This window comes from Homo sapiens, chromosome 1 (assembly GCF_000001405.40).
Source record: "Homo sapiens chromosome 1, GRCh38.p14 Primary Assembly".
Taxonomy (NCBI): domain Eukaryota; kingdom Metazoa; phylum Chordata; class Mammalia; order Primates; family Hominidae; genus Homo; species Homo sapiens.
The window spans coordinates 51646331-51671844 of NC_000001.11; the positions used below are offsets into that span (position 1 = coordinate 51646331).

Below are 25514 nucleotides of genomic sequence, written 5' to 3' on the forward strand. Positions count from 1 at the left end.
TTCTTTTATTAAATTTATTAATAAGTATTTTACCTTTTGATGCTATTATAAATGGAATTGTTTTCTTAGTTATATCTCCAAATTTTTTAAATCTGAAAGTATAGAAATACAATTAATTTTTGTTATTGAATTTCTGTTTGAAACTTTGGTGAGCTCATTTATTAGCTCTAATAGTTTGTTTTTGGTGTGGATTCCTTAGGATTTTCTTTGTTGTTGTTGTTTTTTGTTTTTGAGACGGAGTTTTGCTCCATTGCCCAGGCTGGAGTGCAGTGGCACAATCTCGGCTCACTACAACCTCCTGGGTTCAAGCGATTCTCTAGCCTCAGCCTCCTGAGTAGCTGGGACTACAGGCGCCCACCACTCCCAGCTAATTTTTGTATTTTTAGTAGACATGGGGTTTCACCATGTTGGCCAGGCTGGTCTTGAACTTCTGACCTCAAGTGATCCACCTGTTGCAGCCTCCCAAAGTGCTGGGATTACAGGTGTGATCCATTGCACCCAGCCCCCTAGGATTTTCTATATGGAAGGTTATGTCTTCTTCAAACAGAAATACTTTAAACTCTTCCTTTCTAATCTAGATGCCTTTATTTCCTTTTCTTGCCTGATTTCTCTGGCTAGTACCTCCAGTACAGTGTTGAGCAGGAGTAGCAAGATAAGACATTTTTGTCTTGTTCTTAGGTATAAAGCTTTTAATCTTTCATCATTACATATGCGGTTACCTTGGGCTTTTCATAGATGCCCCTTATTAACTCAAAGAAGTTCCCTTCTGTTTCTAGTTTGTTGAGTGGTTTTTATCATGAAATGGTGTTAGATTTTTTTAAAAGTACGTTTTCTGTGTCTTTTGAGATGATCATGTGATTTTTGTTCTTTATTTTATTAATATGGTATATTATATTGATTGTTTCTTATACGTTGACTCAACCTTGTATTCTTGGGATAAATCCCACTTGGTCATAGTATATAATCCTTTTTATATCTTGCTGGATTTTGTTCGCTAGTATTTTGTTGAGAATTTGTCCATCTATATTAGAAACAGATACTGTTTTTTACGTACGATTTTTTTTCTGGTTTTGGTATTAGAATAATACTAGCTTTATAGAAAAAATTGGAAAGTGTTCGCTCTTCTATATTTTGGAAGAGTTTGTGAAGGTATGTCGTTAATTCTTTAAACATTTTATAGAACTCACCATCTGGGCCTGCGCTTTTCTTTGTGAGAAGTTTTTTGATTACTAATTCAGTCTTTTTACTTATTTTACGTCTATTCAGATTTTCTATTTTTTCTTTAGTCAGTTTTGGCAGTTTATATCTTTCTTGGAATTTATTGGTTTCATCTAATTTGTTGTTCCTTGTATTTCCTTAGAATTTTTTTGTTTTTGTAAGATTGGTAATAATGTTTTTTTTCTTTCATTCCTGATTTTAGTACTTTGAATCCCCTTTTTTTTCCTTGGTCAGTCTAGCTAATGATTTATCAATTTTGTTGATTTTTTAAAGAACCAACTTTTGGCTAGGCACAGTGGCTCGCACCTGTAGTCCCAGCACTTTGGGAGGCTGAGGCAGGTGGATTGCTTGAGCTCAGGAGTAGCCCGAGAACCCCTTCTGAGTAGAACATATCAGTTCGATATTCCCACTTCATGGGGGTAATCCTGTTTTGTCATCCAGCTGAAAAGACAGTAGCATTCATTTCAGAGTGGTCCTTTTTTAAGGTACCGGGCCTTGTAGCTGGAGGCAGAGAGAGTGACAGTTACTGGGCTGTAGACCACATATCTATTTGTGCCAATTTGCTTGAAAAAGGACATTTGTTAGCAGGTTTCAGAACATTGGTAAGATAACACTCAGTAGGAAGATTGCTGGCGTTATGTCAGCTACCTTTCTTTCATTACCAGAAGCTACTAGGATTCATCAGAAATAACCTAATATTTGGTGAATGGCATTGGCTTAGACAGATTTGCTTCAGACCAGGAGGTAGCTGAAGATCACTGGCAGCTGGGACTTTCCTCCTTATCTCTGTGCTTCTCTTGCTGTGTAGGCTTGCTTTCTTCGCATAGAAGGCACAGGACCAGTGGCCTCTGTACCTCACAGCTTCAAGAGCAGATAGGAGGGAGCTCTTCCCTTTGCCCCGGTTGAAAAACTTCCTGGGAGATGACTCTGTCCTGCCCTGTGGGGTAGTGGGTCCTGTGATTGGTCAGCTTCCTTTATCAGAAAAGGCTGTGTCTGGTGAAAGCAGTCACACCAGCTTCCCTATAGCCCCGCATTAAAGCTGAGTGGAGAGAGGGAGGGAGAGGGCCCTGTGCTATTGTGAAAGAGGATAATTTGATGCTATTACAGCTCAGATAAGGTCTGGGAGAATGATTTGCCGGACAGGCATCTCCAACTGTGCAACTCAGCCACATTTTACATATGTAACACTGGGTAACTTACTTGATATCCCTAGTGTCATTTTCATTTTTAATATAGGAATAATTCTTACCATGCAAAGGCTTGTAAGGTTTACTGTATATAAAGTGCCTGTTACATAAGGGGCAGCAATGAGTGAGGATCTGCTGCTTCTGCTATTGTTATTATTAATGTTGCTATTATCCCTTTCTCCAAGTCCTCTTATTTAACGGTGTTATTTTTCTAAAACACACCTTTAAGAATGCTATTGCCCTCTTTGTAAACCTTTAGTAGCTCCCCATTAACTATTGAATAAAGTTAAATTTCCTTAACTACTCCATGTTTTTTTTCAGACCCTTCAGGATCTGGTCCCTGTAATCTTCTTTTCAGCCTCATTTTAAAAAATGTTTAATTTTAATTTTTTTGAAACAGTCACACTGTTTCCCAGGATGGAGTGCAGCAGTGCCATCTCTGCTCACTGCAACCTCCGCCTCCCAGGTTCAAGGGATTCTCCTACTTCAGCCTCCCAAGTAGCTGGGATTACAGGTGTGCACCACCATGCCCAGCTAATTTTTGTATTTTTAGTAGAGATAGGGTTTCACCACGTTAGCCAGGCTGGCCTTGAACTCCTGGCCTCACTCAAGTGATCTGCCCACCTCAGTCTCCCAAAGTGTTGGGATTACAAGCGTGAGCCACTGTTCCTGGCCTTCAGTCTTATCTGTAAGTTCCTGTCTGCACCCTGTGCTCTTGTCTGTACATCTACTCTCCTATGAATAGGAAAGTAAAGTTTTCTACATCTGTGCCTTCGCTGATGTTGTTTCCTTGTCTTGGAATGGCCTTTCCCCCACTACCTTCCCTTTCTTTTTATCAGATTTCTTTTTTCTTTCTTTCTTTTTTAAAGCCCCAGGTTGAAACTTGAAACCTGATCATTTCAGTTTTGCTTCCTTCCCTGATCTTTTTCCTTGACTGGGAGGAGCCTTCTGGAGTCCACAGCACTTATTTTTGCTCTATTACGATTGTTTACATGTTAGTCTTTTTTTTTTTTTTTTTTTTTTACATTTTGCAAGAATCTAAGCCAGTTGTTTTGTAGAATGTCACACATTCTGGATTTGCGTGATTATTTCCTGGTTGTATTTGTTTTAATTATTTTCAGTTATCTCTCTTAGTTTTTTCTTTTTTGTTGTTGTTGAAAAAAGGGTTTTGCTCTGTCACCCAGGCTAGAGTGCAGGGGTGTGGTCATGGCTCACTGCAGCCTTGACCTCCTTGGCTCAAGCAGTCCTCCCACCTCTCAGCCTCCTGAGAGCTGGGACTATAGGTGTGTACCACCACACCTAGCTAATATTTTGTATTTTTTGTAGAGATAGAGTTTCGCCATGTTGCCCAGGCCGACCTCAAACTCCTGGGCCCAAGTGACCCTCTTGCCTTGGACTCCCAAAGTGCTGGATTAGGAAATTAGGAAACGACTAGGATTATAATTGGCCCTCTTAATGTTGTTTAATTTGTAACCCTAATAGTTGTATTACCACTGGGACCTGTCTTGCCTTTTTTCTGTTTACTGTAATTTTATTTAAAAAATTGTGTTATAGTAGAAGAGGATCAAGGATGAATATATTCTTACCTTGTTTGGGTTAATTTTGCATTCTAACCTCATCAGGGATTTTCAAATCTAATTATTATTTTTGTGTATTTCCTTTACACTTGAAGGGAAGATAAGTATAGGGTACAGTAAAAGGGCGACTAAATGCTTAAGGAATGTTTTCATCAACTGTTTTCTTTCACTGTGTTATTAGTAAAGAACTCTTTTCAACTCTGCTTGGTATTGAGAAATTTTTTTCCTAAAATATATGATTCCTGATATTTATAGTTAGAACAAAAAGAATACTCTGTTTAGTATCTCGGTAATCACTTCTGAACATGAATTCTTACGGCTCAAGACTTTGGATGTAGGGCATCTATAGTTTCATGTGGGATAATCATCTTTAAAACATAATCATTCAATATTGGCTTGTTTTGCTGCTTTCTCACACAGGTGGAGTACAGGAAAATACCAGTTGTTCAAGTATTAAGTATTTGTTCAACTTCCATTATTTGAGATGTTACTTTGTTGTATTGCACATGACTAATTTACTCTTAGGAATATTTACTGAATGTAAACATAGCACTTTTGCATAACATAGGCTTTGCTTGGCTCAGTTTAGTAAGAGACACAGAAAGGCTAAGTTACATTTCATCAGTAAATGTTTTTTGAGCACCTGATGTGTACCAGACACTGTTCTGAGGCATAAGTCAGATACAATTCCTACCCCCTAAGGTATGTGTAGTCTTGTGGGTGAAGTAAACCAGCAATTATAACACAGGGTGATGCATGCCACAACAGGGGAACACACAGAAGACTCTGGGAGCCCAGGGTGGAAATCTAAATCAGACAGAGCTAAGGTGCTTGGAATGACAACGAGGCAGAACATTTGGGTCAAGAAAATTCCAAACTGAGGGACATTGGATGAGAAGTCACAGAAGCAAAAAATGTTACCCATTTGGGGAATTGCAGAGGTAAAGCTAAAGCAATACTTCTTGAGGTATGGTCTTCTGTTTGCCTTTGTCATAATTATCTGGGGGCAGCTGGGTGCGGTGACTCACGCCTGTAATCACAGCACTTTGGGAGGCCGAGGTGGGTGGATCACCTGAGGTCAGGAGTTCGAGACCAGCCTGGCCAACATGGTGAAACCCCGTCTCTATCAAAAACACAAAAATTAGCCGAGCATGGTGGCGGGTGCCTGTAATCCCAGCTACTCTGGAGGCTGAGGCAGGAGAATCGCTTGAACCCAGGAGGCGGAGGTTGCAGTGAGCCAAGATTGAGACATTGCACTCCAGCCTGGGCGACAAAGCGGGACTCCATCTCAAAACAAAACAAAAAAAAATAATTATCTGGGAGTGATTCTTAAACCTCCAGGTGATTCTTAGCCTTCTAGGTGGTTCTCTGACTCTCTAAAGTATGAGAAACATTCGTACTTAAGGGAATGAAGAAGGAATGAAAATAATGATGTAATATATGTTACATTAAAGGTATGTGTAAAGTTCTATGATTAGGTTAATTTATATAGACTGTATGACATTTTCATTTAAAATCTGTTTATTTTCCTATCCATAAGTAATTTCTTTTTGGAAGAGAAATTGGCAGAAGGGATGGGTATTACTGTAAATCTTGTCCTTTTATCCCCAGATGATTCTAAAAACAATTTACCAGTCTGTTAATGTTTTATTCATTGAATGCTTTGTTTTTCTTTTAGTCCAAGGACAAAATGATGAGAGGCTCTCGCAGAGGATGTGTTAGACTCAGAGTGAGTATTTATTCATTTTTATGAAAATCAATTTTGACAGAAGAAAATTGTATTCTGATAGAATTATGGAAGTCTAAATTTAGTTTAGCTTCCTTACATAATTGTTGGGGCAGGTATCTAAGTCTCAGAGAGAAAATGTGATTTCTCCAAGTAACTGTTAGTCAGTATCAGAACCAGGACTAGAACTCAGTTATTTTGGCCCATGATTCAATGTTGTATTTATGACTTAATGCATGTTCTGATTTTCTTAAACCTCTACTTTACAGACAAGAGACAAGGGCTGGAAATTAAGTGAGTTATGGTGTTGGTGGTATATCAACAGTAGAAAAAATGGAAAAATCCCAACTGTTAGCTGCCGCTGCTTTGTTTTTCCTGTTCAGCACTATTTAATCATGGTATATATAGCAGTGCTGTCCAGTAGAAATACAATGTTAGCCACATCTATAATTTAAGATTTTCTAGTAAGCCACATTTCAAAAGTAAAAAGAAACAGGCAAAATTAATATTTTATCTAGGTCAGTATATCTGAAATATTGTTATTTTAACATGTGATTAATAAAAAAAAATTAAGATATTTTACAATCTTTCTTTCCATACTAACTATTCAAAATCCAGTGTGTTTTTTACACAAAGGGTACATCTCAATTAGGACTAGCTGTACTTCAGAGAAGGGGATCAATAGCCACATGTGACTAGTGGCTGCCTTATGGTGCAGACCTATAGCTTCATGCTGCTTTCAGTTTCCACCATTGTTCAAATAGGTAAAGGCAAGAAAGAATGCATGGCTAGGGATGCAGTTTCTAGTATCCCATTGTATATGAAGAAAAGTGGCCTCTATCATAACTAGGTTAATCAGCTTCTAGGAACCTTTTCTTCAGGACCCTGTTGACTTCTTTCTTCCACCTTTTTTTCTGCATCCTTACTTTTGAAGATGTGAATATATTTGGTAAACATATTATTGCCCTTGTTAACAGTCCTTGATAGAACTGGGAAATACCGCTGAGAAAGACACCAAATTATAATAGAAAAATCCTGGCACTGAGATAGGAGTAGGTATGGGAGATTTGCAGGATGGAAATGAGACAGGCTTGTTTCAATCAGATGGTATATATGTGATAGCACAAAGATTTTTAAAAATTCAACTTCTAGTTTTTGTTTTTTTTTTTCTAAAATTTTCCTTTGGTTTCTCTTTTGTCTGTTTGGTGTAATTACTTTTCTAAGCACTTGCTGTTGACCTCAGTCACCAGTCAGTCTGGTATTAACTGCTCTTTTGGCTTGAGATAAGTTCAGTAGTGAGACTTTAGCAGAACTGTCTTGACAGAGCACTGCAGTTGAATTCCATTTGGATTTAGGCCACTGTCTCATTGTTACAGTTAATCCACTGGTTTTGTCTGTCTTTATTTTTTTGTTTTTGCTTTTAAATGTAGCTTAATTAATTATTAACCCTTCTAACTACCACCTTAAGAAATAGAATTTTGTCAGCTATACCTGAAGCCTCTCCACGTGCCCCAATTAAATAAATTACATCCCTTATATGTCTCCTAAAGTAATCACTTCTTACATTTGGTTATAACTTTTTTACCCAAATGTGTATCCCTAAGTCCTATAGTTTTCTTACCTATTTGTTTAACTTGATGTCTTTTGTTTACAATTTGTCTGTTGAAGAATCTGGACCGGCTGGGTGCTGGAGCTCACGCCTTTAATCCCAACACTGGGAGACCGAGCGAGGCAGAGGATCATTTGAGCCCAGTAGTTCGAGACCAGCCTGGGAAACATAGTGAGATCCCCATCTCTACAAAAAATTTAAAAAATTAGCTGGATGTGGTGACACATGCCTATAGTCCCAGCTACTTGAGAGACTGAGGCAGGAGGATCACTTGAGCCCAGGAAGTCAAGGCTGTAGTGAGCCATAATTGTGCCACTGCCTTCCAGCCTGGGTGACAGAGTGAGACCCTGAGACCCTATCTGAAAAAAAAGAAAAAAAAAAAAGGAATCCAGACCCTTTGACCTATAAGAATTTTCCATAGTATAGATTTTACTGATTGCACGGTGGTGCAGTTCACTACATTCCTCTGTCCATTGTTTTTGCTGCAAATTGGCAGCTGGATCCAGAGACTGGATCAGACTTAGGTTTGATCCCTTTGGCAAGACTGTAGGTGGTGGTGTGTTCTTTTAGCAGGAAGAACATAGTGTCTAGTTTTTGCCCTTTGTTGATATTAGCAGCTATTGATGTTCAGTACCTACACCCATTAACTCACTGAGGGTTGCAAAATAATGACAGGCTATCATTTTGTTTTAATTTTTATCAGAAATAATTTTATAAGGAGACATTTCATCTATTATTTGGTTACCCAGTGGTGCAGTTAAAATAGGCAAGATGACTGCTTGATTATTTCCTATTATTTACCAAATTTTAAAGGTAATGAATTGGCTTCAAAAACAACCACTTATATATGTGTTTATATGTATATTTCCAAAAGAATTGGAAACAGGGACTGAAACAGATGCTTATATATCCATGTTCATAGGATATATAACATGGATATATAGCATTATTTGCAATATTCATAGCATTATTTGCAATATTCACAGTAGCCAAGAGGTGGAAAGGATCCAAGTGGCCATCCACTGATGAATGGATAAAAAATGTGGTATATAAATACAGTCTATTATTATTATTATTATTATTCAGTCTTATAAAGGAAGGAGATTCTGACACATGCTGCAACATAGATGAACCTTGAGGACACTAGACTAAGTGAAATAAGCCAGTTACAAAAAGACAAAAAGGGTATGATTCCACTTATGTGGGATTCCTAGAGTAGCCAAAATCAGAGACAGAAAGTAGAATGGTGGTTTCCAGGGGTTGGGAGTACGGGAGATGGGGACTTAGTGTTTAATGAGTATGGAGTTTTCAGTTTGGAAAGATGAAAAAGCTCTGGAGATGGATGGTGATGATGGTGATCATCACATCATGAACAATGTGAATGTCCTTTATGCCACTGAACTATACACTTAGAAATGGTTGAAATAATAAATTTCATGTTAGTATGTTTTACCATACACACAAAAACACCCATATATTTCACAGTTTTATAGGTCAGACATCTCTGTTGGGTTTTGTGCTTAAGGTCTCGTATGACTGAAATCAAGGAGTTGGCTGGACTGGGCCCTTATCTGGAGGCTCTGAAGAAGAGTCCTCTTCCAGGCTCATTCAGGGCATTTGCAGAATTCAATTCCTTGTGATTGTAGAACTGAAGCCCTGTTTGTTTTTTGTTTTTTGTTGTTGTTGGCTGTCAGTTGTGTTCTGCTTTCAGCTTCTAGAGGCTGCACGTATTCTTGGTCACGTGGCCTAGACCCCTCCATCTTCATGTCAGCGATGTGCATTGAATCCTTCTGGTGCTCTGAATCTTTCTGACTTCCCATTCGGCTATCAGCTGCAGAAAATGCTCTGCTTTTAAAAGACCTCATGTGATGACATCGGATTAGGTCCACCAAATAATCTCCCTTTTGCCATGTAATGTAACATAATTACTCCTGCGATATCATATTCATGGTTTTCATCCATACTCAAAGGGGAGGAGATTATACAGGGGCAAGGGTCTGTGAGAGTCATTCTTAAAATTCTGCCTACTACACAGCATGACAGAGAAGAACCAAATATACCTGTGTTTGATTCCCATTTTTACCCATTCCTTTGTTGAGTGGAAAAGGGAAGCTATCATAAGCTTCCTGAGCTTTAGTTTCCTCTTCTTTAAGGTGGAGATAATACTCTTCTTGCAGAATTTTGTGACGATTAGGTCCTGGCACATAGATGGAACTTAATAATTAGAAACATGTATGTGTGTGTTTGTCCCTCTGTGTGCACACACGTGCATTTTACTAGGCTTTGTAGTATTTTCCAAAAATTAAACTGCCGAGGCTTTTAGTCAAGAAATATCTTGAGGGTTTGTTTACAATACAGTTACCAAGTCCACCTTCTAGATAGGCTGCTTTAGTGTAGTGTTCTGGAACCTTTATTTTTAAACAGATTATCCAGGTAATTATGTTGTGTAACCAAGAGGGACCACTGGTGTAGAAACAATCAGAGAGACCTGGGGCTGAATTTTACTCAGCTCTTCCCTTACTGACTCTGACATTGGGCACATTTCTTAACTTTTATGAGGATACCGTGATATAACTGGTACGGTTGTAATGAGGCTTAGCAATTATGTATGTATAGGAAACAGTAACTGCTATGGATGACAACGATGATGATGATGATGAATATGGTAGTGATACTGCATCTAGATTCCAAATGAGCTTAATGAGCTATCATTGACTGCACTACTGATCTTGCCCTTGCCCCATCCATCCCATCCTATATTTGAATCACACTATGTTTCTTCCTTTTCCCTCACTGTGCTTCTTCATTCCTCATTGCTTCTGACTTTTTCTTTTTCTTATATCATGGAAGTTCTGCACCCCCTATCTGATGAGCTCATCGCTTAAGAGACTTTTCAAATGTTACCTCATCTGTGAAGCCTTTCTAATCCGCATACTTCTAACAGGTTTAATTCTCCCCTATCCTCTACATTTTTTTTTCCTTCTTCCCCCACTCCTGCTTCTCCTCCCCCTCCTCGCTCTCCCCCCAACTTTTGACAGGATCTTGCTCTTTACCCAGGCTGGAGTGCAATGGTGCGATTATAGCTCACTACATCCCCAAATTCCTGGCCTCAAGCAATCCTCCTGCCTCAACCTGCTGAGTAGCTAGGACTACAGGTGTGCACCACCACACCTGGCTAATTAAAATTTTTTTTTTTTTTAGAGACGAGGTCTCACTGTGTTGCCCAGGCAGTCTTGCTAACTCAGTCTCCTAACTCCCGACCTCAGGCAGTCCTCCTAACCCAGTCTCCCAAAGCATTGGAAATTACAGGCACCAGCGACCATGCCTGGCCTATTTTTTTACATTTGTAATTTAGAGCCATGAAATTACTTGTTACATTGTATTACATGTTAATTTTTCTGTTGTCTCCACTTGGATAATAAGTTCCTATTCAGTGTCACAGTTGCCTGGCACATAATAAATACTCAAAAATGCTTATTGTTAATTTTATGTATTTATGAAAATAATCAGTAAATGTTGGGAAATTTGCCTTTACTATGGTTTGCATACAAAAGAACTGTGGGAGTTATTTATCTTAAACATAATGTGAGCCAGTGGTATGATGTATTTTCTAAAAAGAACAAAGCAAAACACCCACATGAACATAGGGTACATAAAAGGAGAATGGAGAAAGGGACCATAGAGGAAACCCAGATCAGGTGCTGTGCTGGATGATTTTCATACACATTCCTATCATAACCCTGTCAGGTAAATGCTCATATTTCATTTTGCAGATGAGGAGACTGAGACACAAACTACTCTTAGTAACTTATCAAGGTCACATAGGAATGGTGAATCTGAGATTGGACTTGGGTCTTATTTCAAAGCCCTGTTCAATTCTTAATGTTACTAGGCTCCCATTCCTCTGGACTAGAAGAGTGAATTCAGATACTGTAAGTCATTATAAGGTAGTGTCAAACCAGTGGAGGAAAGCAGAAAAGTGAAAAACCTTCTTTGTGTTGGTTATGAAGTGTGTGCCACTAGACGGTGCCCTTTCCTTGATGAAGAAATAAAATGTTGCTTGAGTCCTGTGGTCTGATCCTCTCCCATACTAGTCAAAAACAAAACATTGGCATTTTCAGATAATATCTGGAAAATGGAGACATGACAACATTAAAGAGGCAGTGTGGCCCGGGCTTGGTGGCTCATGCCTGTAATCCCAGCACTTTGGGAGGCTGATTCAGGAGGATCACTTGAGTCCAGGAGTTTGAGACCAGCCTGGGCAACATAATGAGACCTCTTCTCTACAAACAAACAAAAAAAATGAACAAAATTGGCTGGGTGTGGTGGCTTACACCTCTATCCCAGCTACTTGGGAGGCTGAGGTGGGAGGATCACTTGAGTGCAGGAGGTCGAGGCTGCAGTGAGCTGAGATCATACTACTGCACTCCAGCCTGGGTAACAGAGCAAGACCCTGTCTCAAAGAAAAAAAAAAAAAAAGTAGGGTGTAGTGGCAAAAACAAATACAGGGCATGTATGTAATGAAATTCAGACTTGGATTCTGCCACATTCTGGCGTTGTGACTTGAGGCAACTTTTCAGCTCTGAGCCCTATTTCCCATATCTCTGGAATAGACATCATGCCATTTACTCATAGTGTTGTGAGTACCAGATTAGTTAATACATTTTGAAAAGTACTCAAACACGGTGTTTGGAGCTTAATAGGATCTAAATGAATGGTAGTTTTTTTTTTGTAATTCATAATTTCTATTAATACAGATGAATCTCAGATTCTGAAGAATTCTAAAGGGCCTTAGGAATCACCAAAGAAAAATGAATTATATTAAACAAAGTTTTAATGGTAAATTTATTATACATCTTTGAAAACTATTAATCTACATGTGATTTAGAGTGACCCTCTTTTACTCCATCCAGTGAAACTAAGTATTCCATTTACCTGTTGTGCTAGGTATCAGAATTGAATGTGATTTCCTGAGAGATGCATTATCTATTCTCTTTTCTTTTAGTCTACCACAAGAGAGGTCGGTGGTGCACCATGACAGAATATTAATATTTTCAGTAATGACTTCTGTTAGTGCCCTATTTCATTGATACCATCACTTTTTTTTTTCACAATGCAATAAGGTGTTATTTTTAGGTTAATGTATAACCTTAAGAATGTCTTCCTTTTTCCCTTGGATCTGTATCCTGTAAGAACTTTTATCAATTGTCTTGTTATTTCACAGTGAAAAGTCACTCTATTCATTGTGGCTTTTCTCGTTAATTCAGTAGCCTTTTTGTAAGCTCTTTCTCTTCTCTATGAATTTAATATTGAAAATATCCTCCCTTGGGCAAGATGTAAACATCTATTTAATCTCTGTGATTGGTACATAGATGTCATTAGTGCTCTATTTTATGAATGTTTATACTATTTCATAATTACAAATTAAAAATTAAATGAAAAAGAAAGTGATGGAAGAATATATTCCAGGCAAGTGCTAACCATAAGAAAGCTGGGAAACAGAATTAATATCAGACATAGAATACTAAGAAAAGAAATTAAATTGTTATGGAAAAAGAGAATACCAAAGACGCAGTATCACATAGATAACATTCTTTGACAACAATGGAAAAAATTAGAAATCCCTTGATGAAACAGTAGCCACCCACCTCACACACATACTTCTGAATAATTCATTGGTGGAAGTAGAAATGATAATAGAAATTGTGAAATATTTAAGTCTGAACGATAATGAGAAAACCACATGTTAAAACTGCATCTATGGAAGTCTGATTTATAATCTTAAATGAATATATTACAAGACAGATTGAGAATTAATGATCTAAACATTAAAATTTTAAAATTAGGTAAAGAAAAGAAATAGCAAAGGAAATAGAAAGAAGAAAATAACAAAAAGAATACACTAATGAAATGGGAAATAAACAGTAGAGAGCATAAACCAACTGAACTGTGATTCTGTGAAAAAAGTAATAAAATAAACCCTGGTTAGATTGGGAGGAAAAAAACGAAGGCACAAATAAATAATATTAAGAATGAAAAAAAGAAAAGTACGTAATAGTAGAGATGAAAAATTGTCAGGAAGCTACTACAAATACATTTTGCCAATAAATTTGAAAGCTTATATGAAAATGGATAATTTCTCAAAAAAGCATAAATCAACAAAATTAGGCTGTCAAAGAACTTGACAAGGTGATTCTAAAAGTCATTTAAAATTTGGGAAAGGGGAGAGATATTTTTAAAGAATAAGGAGTTGGTGGACTTGCCACTCCAGATATTAAGTTTTTAACTGAAACTATGGTAATTAAAATGGTATGGTGGTGTTATAAGAGACAGAAATAGATTAGCGGAATGGAAGAGAAAGCTGAAAAACAGAACCATTTGGATTTGGGTCTTGGAGAAAGCTGGAAATTTGGTATATGATAGAGCGTTACAAATCAGACATTATCACTTAGTAAATGAAACTGGATCAATTGGGTGTCCATATGAAAAAAAGAAGATTACTCTTTACCCCATGTGATACACAAAAACAAATTTCAGATGTATAAGAGGTATAAAATGAAATTTTAAACTTAGAAAAAAAGCATAGGTGATATCTTTATGATGTCAAGATAGAGCAGAAAGCATAAACCACAATGGCAAATATTTGTGGATTTGACAACATTCAAAATTTAAAACCTTTGAACAAAAAAAGATACCACAGTCAAAGGGAAAAGACAACTCATGGATAGAAGAGAAAATACTTAAAATACATCAGTTGGCAAAGGATTAATATTCTGTGTATATATAAATAACTCCTGCATATTAATAAAGAAGACAAAAAGAAAATCCCCCCAAATGCATACAAATCTGTAAAAAAGACAAAAGAATTCTCAAAATGTAGAAAAGTTACATACTTTCAATTCATGTAAGGGGGAATAAGAAGGTAAAATATTGAATGCAAAAGCAAAGCAAATTGTTTACCACTCTCTTACTGGCATCTAGGCCAGTGCCTAGAAATTCAATAAATACTTGTTGAATCAATGAATGAATGATGCTAAAGTAGGTCCTCCATGCAGCGTCTTCTTTAGTGAGCAGGTTGAACTGCAAGCCATTCTGCTCCCTTCTATATTATTGATTCTGTCACTCCTCTCTAGACTGTATGTTCCTCCAGGGCATAGACATGTTTTGTATCCCTTGGCTGTTACTGTTCTTGGCCCAGAATAGGTATTTAATAAGTTTGTTGAAGTAATTAGTGAATATTGTTTACTGTCACCATGTCCTGTTAAGAACAGGCTTTGGATCAGGGTTTGCAAGACCTAGTATTCTTCTCCCTTTTAGTTGTTGGACTTTTGGCAAACTTAAAAAAAATTTTTTTTAAACCTGAGTCTCAGTTTCTTAATCTCTAAAGAAGAGTAGTGACCTGTTCTGCCTAAATCTCAGGGACCACATTTAAATGCACTATGTGAATGTAAATAGACTTCCAATGTCATTTAAGCAGTGATGAAAAGTATGTGGTTGTAGAGTTATAATGGGAGTAGCTATGCTGTGTATTCTTAGCACTGTCTACATTCCTTTTAGGAGCCTGTGAGCAATCTATGTCTCAGAGGAGTCATCATTCTTTTTTATTATCTTTGGAACCAGTTCACCAGCCTACTTTTCGCAAAGGGAGATTGGCCCCAAAATAGCCAGAATTTTGTTTCTCTTTTTTTACCCCAAGCCGTGAGAGCAAAACTATCTGTCTGTCTTTGGCATCAGAATGATGATTCATGTCTGAAGTATGTCTGTGTGTATAGAAAAAAAACGAAAAGAGAGAAAGTCAGGAAATTCATCCAGTGGGACAAGACTGTGTAGCTCTAGTTTCTTTTTGGTGCCTTGATAGTGTGACCCTGGAGCAACAGGCACCTTGGTGACCTCAAGTACTGATAGAACTTTAAGAAGCTGACCATCTGAAACCTTCAGAAAAAAATCATGAGAGGTCACTGAAAGATGTATATGTTTATTATGTTGGCACAATGGGGGTCATAAAAGTGGAGTTGAAAGAAAAACATTGATATTTTTGTGGGTTAGTATAACAAATAACTTTTCTTAACAACAGAACACCATTTCATATATAGATTATCAAAGGGAGTTTTGCTTTACCAGATATAATCAAAAAAATACTCTAAACCCAGATAAAGGGAGAGGAAGGATGTCTCAGGCAGAGGGAACATGTGCAAAAAATGGTGGTAGGAGAGAAATTGGGGCAATTGGTAAACCTTAAGCTATTTAAGTGTAGAATAGAGAGGTAGGCATGGAGCAAATCACTAAGGGCCTTGTAGGCTAGGCTGTGGCGGAGAGTGACCACATCCCTTAAACCAGAACTGCTTGAGAATGAAAGGGGGATCTATTCATTATTGAGCCAGGACAACAGGAATAATCCAGGATTGTTCCTGGCAAACCAGGTCGTATGGTCACCTTGTGTGAAGGTGAAGAAGAACCATTGGTGTGGTAACATATCCTCCAAGGAATGGAAGGTTAAAATAAATTATAAACTAGAGGATTGGACAGCTGAATAATCTTGACTAAAAGGGAATGAGAGAGGCTGGCCAATTGCTTGGTTAGGACATGGAATTGAAAAGGGCTGTTGTTAAAGAGTATAAAGACTTGAGTCTTGAGTATGTGTAAATGCAGTTGGGAAAAAGAGAGAGAGAGACAGAGAAGAGAAATAGAGACCAGGAAGAGAGAGACAGAAATTGAAAATTGGCAGGGATATGGAGCATGAGTGTGGAAGGACTGGGTTTTCGATAGAAGAATGGATGCCTTTTCCATTATGATAAGTGGAAAGGAAGCATGCTGGGTTTAGATGCAAGTGAGTCTTCAGGTGGGAGGGCACATCAGGAAGGTTTAGAATTTCTACCCGATGGCTGCTTTTGTTGTTGGGAGTCCTAGCCAATGAATAAAGCAATAAAAGACATATAAGGTGTAAGGCTTGGAGTAGAAGTAATAAGACTATTATTCACAGCAACTTAATCGAGCATATGGAAAATCCAAAAGAATCTATAGATATAACTATTAGAATTGAGAATTGAATCTAGCAAGATAAGCAGATACAAAGTCATTATATAAAAATCAACGAATTTTTTTTTTTTTTTTTTTTGAGACAGAGTCTCGCTCTGTCGCCCAGGGTGGAGTGCAGTGGCGTGATCTCGGCTCACTGTAAGCTCCACCTCCCAGGTTCACGCCATTCTCCTGCCTCAGCCTCCTGAGTAGCTAGGACTACAGGCGCCCACCACCAGGCCTGGCTAATTTTTTGTATTTTTAGTAGAGATGGGGTTTCACCGTGTTAGCCAGGATGGTCTTGATCACCTGACCTCATGATCTGCCCGCCTTGGCCTCCCAAAGTACTGGGATTACAGGCATGAGCCACCGCACCTGGCCAATCAGTGATATTTCTGTATACTAACAACTGGCAATCAGAACATGAATTTTTTTAAATGGAGAACATTTATAATAGCATCAAAAAGCATCAAATTTTTAGGAATAAATATTAACAAAAGATGAGTGAGACCTCTACTCAGGAAATGATAAAACATTATTGAAATTTAAAAAGACCTAAATAAATGACAGTCTATTTATTTAGACTGGCAAATCCCAGTTTATTTCTAGTCATTTGAGTCATTATGCTGGCAAGTGTGTGTGTGTGTGTGTGTGTGTGTGTGTAAAACGTGTGTAGCTGACTAAAAATTTATGAAGAGTCAAGAGTATCCATTCCTGATTCCTGCCTTCTCAGCCAACATACAGAACCCAGTAGAAATGGTGATTTGCTTTCCTCTGCCCCTTTGGGGATGGCTGGCTATGACTATGTTCAAGATGTTTATTTATTAAAAAACTTTTTTTAAATTGGAGGATTTACTCCACCTGATATCCAAATGTAAAGCCTTCCAGAAGATAATGTAGGAGAATATTTTCATGGCCTTGGGACTGGGAAAGACTTCTTAAAGGAGACATAGAAAGCAGAACTATAAAATGTAAAGTCAATACACTGTCCTACATTAAAGTTAAGAATTCTTCATCAAAAGATATCATTATGTGAGTGCAAAAGCAGGCAACAGAGTAGAAGTAGATACTTGCTTAATTTATAACCATTGAAGGGCTCATACCCATGATATAGAAAGAACTCCTACAAGTCATTAGAAAAAGATAGTCCAGTCTTGTCAATGGAGAAGAAACTTAAACTATTTCACAAAAGAGGATCTTCAAATGGTCAGAAACCATGAAAACATACTTAACCTTGTCAGTTATTAGGGAAGTGGAAGTTAAAACCATGATGAGATGTCACTACTTACCTGCCAAGAATAACTAAGGTGAAAAACTGTTAGTGAAGTTATTGGAACAGTTGAAACTGTCGTATACCACTGATGGGAGTATAGCTGACACAACCACTTTTGAGGACGATTTGATAGTATCTCCTAAACCTGATATATGCATATCCTGTGACCTAGCAAATTTACTTTCCTAGATTTGTATTTAATATAAATACATGTATAACAAAAGATATGAATAAGAATATTCATAGGAGCTTTATTCTAATAACGTAAAACTGAAAACAACATAAATGTCCATGCACAATGGAATTGATAATTGTGGGTCTATACAGAGGAATGATATATATAGCAATAAAAGTGAACAAACTACTGCTTCATGCAACAATATGGATGAATCTTACAAACATGGTGCATGAAAGAAGCCAGACACAAAGGAAAATAAGTGGTGTGAGTCCATTTGTATACAATTCAAAGACAGGGCCAGGCATGATGACTCCTGCCTGTAATCCCAGCACTTTGAGAGGCTGGGATGGGTGGATCACTTGAGGCCAGGAGTTTGAGACCAGCTTGGCCAACATGGTGAACCCTGTCTCTACAAAAAATATAAAAATTAGCCGGGCGTGTGGTGATGCATGCCTGTAATCCCAGTTACTCAAGAGGCTGAGGCACAAATATCACTTGAGCCTCAGAAGCAGAGGTTGCAGTGAGCTGAGATCATGCCACTGCAGTCCAACCTTGGCAACAGAGTAAGACTCTGTTTCAAAAATAAATAAATAAATAAATAAGTTCAAAGACAGACTAAACTAATTGTTATATTAGAACTAAGGATAGTATTTATCTTTGGAATGGAGGGTTGGGTTAATGATTAGGAAGTGTTACAAGGGGAGCTTTTCTGTTCATTGAGCTGTACACTTGTGATTTGTATATATGTTACATTTCAATGTAGTGTTATTTTCAGATGAGATAGTATATGTAAAATGCTTAGCATAATGCCTCACTCATGAAAATGAGTTCAGTTCAATAGCTGGCAGCATTAACTATTTACTGTGGTTTAGTGCTCTGTGATGATAAGATTCACGGCAGTGTTATCCAACAGACCTTTCTGCAGTGATTAAAATGTTCTGTATTTGTGCTGTTCAGTTTCATAGTCATTAGCCACAAGTGGCTGTTGAACATTTGAAGTATGACTAGTGTGACTAAGGGACTTACTTTATTTATTTATTTAGTTTTTGAGACAGAGTTTCGCTCTTGTTTCCCAGGCTGGAGTGCAATGGGGCAGTCTTGGTTCACGGCAACCTCCAGCTCCCGGCTTCAAGTGATTCTCCTGCCTCAGCCTCCCGAGTAGCTGGGATTACAGGCTTGCACCACCATGCCTGGCTAATTTTGTATTTTTAGTAGAGACGGGGTTTCTCCATGTTGGTCAGACTGGTCTTGAACTCCCGACCTCAGGTGATCTGCCAGCCTTGGCCTCCCAAAGTGGTGGGATTACAGGCATGAGCCACTGCGCCCGGCCTGAGGGACTTATTTTAAATTTTTACTTAACTTTAATTAGAACTTAAATACCCAATATGTGGCTAATGGCTATTGTATTGGACAGTGTGGATGTAGGGTTTTTGTCATAGGAAATGAAGGACTGAAGGAGAATAGCAATGTAGTTCATTTGAGTAATTCAACAAATCAAGACACTGAGAGACCAGAGCATCAGATCAATTGTGCATATATACACTGAAGAATGCTCAGGATCATGACAAGACCTGATTGGAGTAGGAGACTGTTAGCTAGGTTCGAGTCTTCAAAGAAGCCTTCGATTAGAGAGGGGAAAGTGCAAAGGTCCAGAAAGTAATGTTTTTTTCCATATAGACTATCTAAAGTACGCAGCGAGAAATGTTTCTGCAGCAGCAACAGGTGCTCCAGAGAAATGTTTTGTGTATATATATATATTTTTTTAGAGTCTCGCTCTGTCACCCAGGCTGGAGTGCAGTGGTGCGATCTTGGCTCACAGCAATCTCTGCCTTGAAGTGATTCTCCTGCCTCGGCCTCCTGAGTAGCTGGGATTACAGGCATGCGCCACCATGCCTGGCTAATTTTTGTATTTTTAGTAGAGACAGGGTTTCAACATGTTGACCAGGCTGGTCTCAAACCCCTGACCTCAGGTGATCCGCCCGCCTCGGCCTCCCAAAGGGCTAGGATTACAGGTGTGAGCCGCCGCACCCGGCCTCCGGAGAAGTTCTGTACAACAAAACTAAAGTAGTAATGTGGTCATTGGAGATCTGTGAGAGAGAAGTTTGGTGCCGTGAGAGGAAGGAAGCCAGCTTGCAAGAGTGGATGGAAGGTTAAGGTACAGCCAATTTTCAAAAAGCTCCTCTCTGAAAGCAATGTGAGGAGATGTGGTAGCTAGAGGGAGATGTGGGATTTTGCTTTTGTTTAACAAATGGTGAGAAATAGAGCTTGAAGAATGACCTTAAAAAGTGAAATTGCTTGGTGTTTTTAAAAATTTAAAATATTAAAATAATTATTTTAAAAATTTAAGATCCTCAGTCATACTAGTCATATTTCAAATGTTCAGTAGCCACTTGTTGCTAGTGACTATTAAACTGAACAGTACAAATACAGAACATTTTAATCACTGCAGAAAGTTCTGTTGGATAACACTGCCGTCAATCTTGTCATCACAGAGCACTAAACCACAGTGACTAGTTAATGCTGCCAGCTATTGCACTGAACTCATTTTCATGAGTGAGGTATGTGGAAGAAATGTGGAAGCTGAATTCATATGGGGTGTCTGTGAGGTGGGGCAGAAGGAAGCTGGGTGACGATAGTGGAAATGTTGGTTGGGCCAGATTTTGAACAGCCTTGAATGACATTATGAAGTAATGCTGACTTTATCTGTTAGTTCATAGAGAGCCAAGGAAGGTTTTAAACATGTGAGTCTCTAATAAGAGTCTGTGCTTCAGAAATATTACTCCGGCAATAGCAAGGACTGTGAACTAACTGTAAAGTGTCCAGACTGAAGGCAGGCAGATTGTTACCAAACAAGAAACGATGAAAGCCTGAATTACAGAAGTAGCAGAGAGGATGGAGACAAGTTGGTGAACTTAATAGTTGAGAGGTAGAATGAGCACAGCCTGTGGTAATGGAACAAGGGGTAGTTGTACAGACCTGGAGGTTTCTACCAGAGTTGACTAGGTGACTTGTTGAGCTTACATTTGGGTTCTTAATTAAGGAACTCAAGAGAAAGAGCAGGCATTTGAGAGTGGAGTGAGTTGCAATAGCTTTGTTGAGATATAATACATATACTATGCAATTTATCAACTTGGAGTATCCAATTTATGTTTTTAGTATATTCACAGAGTTGTTCAACCATCATCATAGTCAATTTTAGAATGTTTTCATCACCTTGTAAAGAAATCTAGTATACCCATTAGCAGCCATTCCCCATTTCACCCCAACCCTCCCAGCACTAGACAACCACTAATCTACTGTCAGTCTATGAATTTACCTATTCTGGACATTTTTTGTAAGTAGAATCATGTAACATGTGATCCTTAGTGACTAGCTTCTTTCACTTAGCATACTGTTTTCAAGGTTCATCCAGAGAGAGATAACTTTTCGCCCTGTATTATAGTCACCTCTTTGCATGTTTTATCTCCTGTACTGGATATAAGTGCCTTGAAGGCAGGGCATATATTCCAGAGCTGTATATTGCATATATTTTGGTATTTAGTTATGGCTCAGGAAATATTTGATACATCACAAGTTAGAAGGTTAACTCAGTTAATCACAAATTACATTAACCAGAATGAGCTGTTTCTGCACGTGCTTACCCACTGAAGTGTGTCTGTATTTGCTGTCGTGGAATAGCTAGGTTCCATGCCAATGGTGATCTGGTACTGGTTCTGCTGTTAAGGCTTTGTGTGACCTTGGGCAAGTCATTATACTCTCTGGAGACACTTTCCCTATTTGAAAATGGAGATAAAATTTCCTACCCCATCTGACACTGAGGAATAAGTAAAGTAATTCAAGTAGGTGGAATTTGGATAGAGTTGGGGTTCATCCAGATAGCCTCTGGGGAAGAAATGAATAAATGTTTGATCCTATTCCCTAATATTCCTGGTATAGGAGTAGTCCCCCTATGTAGCCTTTTTTCATGGGATTAGGTATTTTGTCCCCTTGAGTCATTTCAACTCCCTTGTCAAGGTCTCTGGTTTTATCAAGGGCACACGGCTTCTCTTATCACCTGAGGCATTTGACCTATTCTGTGTTCTGTAGTCTTTCTCTCTGGAATACTTAAGATACTTTTTTCTTAAGGACATTGAACAATAGATTCCCTATTTTGCTTAGTTTCCTGTCTCTTATCTTAATTCCTGTTGTCTTCACAGAATGCATGTAGTTGAATATTAAGAAAAGGGGGCCAGGTGTGGTGGCGCACTCCTGTAATCCCAGCACTTTGGGAGACTGAGGCAGGCAGATCACTTGAGGTCAGAAGTTCGAGACCAGCCTGGCCAACAAGGTGAAACCCTGTCTGTACTAAAAATACAAAAGTTAGCCGGGTGTGGTGGCACACGCTTGTAATCCCAGCTACTTGGGAGGCTGAGGCAGGAGAATCACTTGAACCTGGGAGGTGGAGGTTGCAGTGAGCCGAGATCGTGCCACTGCACTCCAGCCTGGGTGACAGCCTAGGCAACAGGGTGAGACTCTGTCTCAAAAAATAGTAATAAAAAAGTATTTTTTAAAAGGGTTAAAACCTACCCAGTCCGCCTTCCCAAAACAACTTGTAAATTCAGTTCCCCATTGTGTGTGCCTGCCCACCCCCCAGTTTGGAGAGTTGTTTGTGCTCTTATTTAGAAACATATACTAAGTATGTACTTAAGTGCCATGTATCAAATAAAATAGTCCTTGATTTCTAAGATTTCATAGTGGTTCTGTAGGAAGATGCTGACATATGAACAGATAATCACAGTATACTGTGAAAAGTGCTCTTGGAGGGCAATGTACAAGTGGTTATGGAAGCACTTGGAAGAAGGGGTTGGGACAGTGTTTTGAAGCAAATGTCACCTGGCATTTCTACACTAACAAGTATATACTATCACAGAAGCAGCCTGCTGAAGAGCACCTGCCTTCTTTCAGCCTTACAACAACCTGGTGAGGTGTAGGTTTTTGACTCCCATTTTAGAGAGCATTCTGAAGTTCAGAAAGGCTCAGTGGCTGGCTCTTAAAACACAGATCCTAGATTCAGCTTCTGTGTTTGTCCCTTCCGCCTCCCAGCACATCTATGCCCTTAAGGAAGGCATAGAATGTACCTGTACATGGTACTAGAGTGTCCTGCCAGCTCCTCTCCTTTAGTTCTTTCTCCTTAAGCAAAACTAGAGTCTCAGTTTCCTCTTTTCTGTGTCTAGCCTGCTTCCAGTGTCGTTGGTGCATTGAGTATTCCAGGGCTATAGCAGTAGTGAATATTGCTGATGTCATTGTTTGCCTTATTGGGATTTTGCTCTTTGTTTCACAGGGAGCTGTGATTGGTATAGACGATGAGGACGACAGCACCTTCACAATAACTGTTGATCAGAAAACCTTCCATTTCCAGGGTGAGCTGAAAGAAGAGATTCTTTCTCTTCATAGTCCCATCTGCTTCTTTTCTTCTCTTTTGGGTTGTTTGCTGGATGACTTGAATGGTTTTGCAACTGATCCTGCATGAACGAGTGCATAGGAACATTCTGGATGAAGTGGTACTGCAGGTTAGGCAGGGATTTGTATCTGCAATGGATGTAGATCGATTTGAAACGACTGTGGATCTGGCTGCAGTTGGAGATGAAAATTTTAAAGGATAAAAATCAGTGAAGGGAGAGAGTAATGGGCTGCTGCTGCTGCTGGCTTGTGTTTACAGAAGGTTGCTGATCTTCTTTATCAAGGAGTATGGTTCTGCTTCTGCATGAAGAGTCTAAAGACTGATTGTGAAGGTTGCAGTGTTTGTCTGTGTAAAACTCAAAATATAAATTAAATTGAAGCTTAGTGGCAACCTTTGGCTTAAAGGTTTTGCTCTGCTTCAAGAACTACAAGTTTGCATTCATTTCATCTGTATTTCTGTGTTTTGTTTGCCAGCCATCATTTCTCTGCTATTATCCTTTTTATAGTTAAATGCCATCTGCCACTGCTATGTTTCGGCATTGCATGCTATGGTTCACCGGTAGAAAGGGTAAGGTACTGTATGATCATTCTCATTTCATTTTGCTTTGAAAACTCTAAACCAGCAAATAAAAGTCAATTTTAATGATCTTGTCCTAAGTACCTCTTGTCTATTAGGAGTGACTGTTAGTTTTAGTATTAATGGTTTTGTTATTTTGCCTTTCCAGAGTAATCTCTCTTTTATGTTTCGAGCAGTTCAAGAAACTTAGAAATGAAAAGATTTGGAGAGGTTAGCACTTTCTCTCAACTACAAGTAACAGTGCACTGTTAGAGATGCTAGGTATGCCAAGATAAATAAATATTAAATACATTTATTGCTTAAAAATGTTTTGGTTATGAAGTCTAACAGAGGCCAGATATGTTATATGAGGTGTTTAGGCAGCTGTTGTCTTTTTGTGCTAGGATAGTGAATTGCAGTTATTTTTCTTCATTGTCTTCTTTCAGAAATTGACAGATAGTAATGAAAGATGCAGGTTATATTCAACAAACCTAAACCAGTGTACTCAATAGTGATATCTCTAATGCTTTCTTCCACATAACCTTAAAATATTTACTGTGTTTGATGATATAATTTATTCAGAGCTGCTTTAATAACGATGCTGTCCTGAAATTTTCTACTATATTTAACTTCATAAAACATTTTAAATCCTATTATGAAAGCCCAGAGTTTTTATTTTTAAGTTAAATATGTAATGCTGCCTATAAATCAGCAGGTAATTCCTACACTCTGGAACTCTTTACTTGAATGAAGTTGAATATTTTAATGCATTTCAAGAAAGAGCTGCTGGGTGCAGGTAAGGCTGCAGTATGGAATTCTCTTCTCTGCAGTTACTAAGAAGGAGACACCTCCTTTGGACCCTCAGAAGCTGTACCTCTACCTTCTGATTTACTTTTAAATTATTTATGTCCCCTTTGGCACTCTCATACTTATTTGGCTTATAAAACAAGAAATATTCCTCAGGAAGGATTTAAATGATAAGAGTTATGCACATTTTAAAAATGGATTCATAGTTCTGAAACTGTCAGAATAATTAGTTTATTTTCTATTGTAGTAGTTATGGGAGTTTTAGCATGAGATCTGGATTTTGCAAAGAACTTGGTAAGACTGTATTTTTTTTTCGTTAATGAGAGCTATTTCACATTCATAGGTCCTTGATCATAAAATCCCTGCAAATTTGATACAAAGTTATCAGTGTCTGAGAGATCTTAAATTCTTGATTAGAATTGAAAGCAAATTTTAGCTATATATGTGAACATATCTTTAAATGTGCTGAAGTTTTTATTGAATACACCAGTTTTTTTTTAAGCAAATGAAATATCAGTTGATGCATTATAAAACAAATTCTACTGTCAACTATTAAAGGGAAAGCTAGAGTTTGTTCAGATACATTCATTTATTCATTCAACATCTATTTTAGACATTATTCTGGGGATACAGTGGTATACAAAACAGATAAAATTCCTTGCCCCTTGAGTCATCCATTCCAGGAAAGGAGAAAGGTAATCAACACGATCAACATGATAAGTTAGTAAAATATAAGTAAATGAGAGTGATAAGTCCTGGGGAGAAAAAAATAAAATACGAAAGGAGAAAATGAAATAGAGGTGAGGTTGCAGGGAGAGGGGAAGTGTTGAAATTTTAAATAGGGTAGCTAGGGAAAGACTCACTGAGATGGTGCCTTTTTAGTGAAGAGCTGAAGAAAGTCAGGGAACAAAGTATATGGCTATGTTGGT

At 38.2% G+C, this 25514-nt stretch overlaps 1 protein-coding gene across 11 annotated transcripts in view, besides 1 other annotated feature; it reads left to right on the top strand.

Annotated features, from left to right (window-relative positions):
- OSBPL9 (oxysterol binding protein like 9) overlaps positions 1-25514 on the top strand; it is a 270948-nt gene that overhangs the window by 128059 nt on the left and 117375 nt on the right. For 8 of the 11 annotated variants that reach the window (NM_001416294.1, NM_001416293.1, NM_001416292.1 and 5 more), the window contains 2 exons: positions 5661-5711; positions 23104-23182. In NM_001416294.1, the coding sequence (NP_001403223.1) occupies positions 5661-5711; positions 23104-23182 (130 nt within the window). The remainder of the gene's footprint in view (positions 1-5660; positions 5712-23103; positions 23183-25514) is intronic. The other 3 variants (NR_036662.2, NM_001350209.2, NM_148906.3) reach the window with 2 other exon arrangements.
- Positions 1490-1698: a silencer, noted in NCBI's record as "fragment chr1:52113492-52113700 (GRCh37/hg19 assembly coordinates)". NCBI's record gives its function as "represses an EF-1alpha promoter that drives an FKBP-Casp9 reporter gene in an ReSE screen in K562 erythroleukemia cells {active_cell/tissue: K562}" and the evidence as "EXISTENCE:reporter gene assay evidence [ECO:0000049][PMID:32094911]".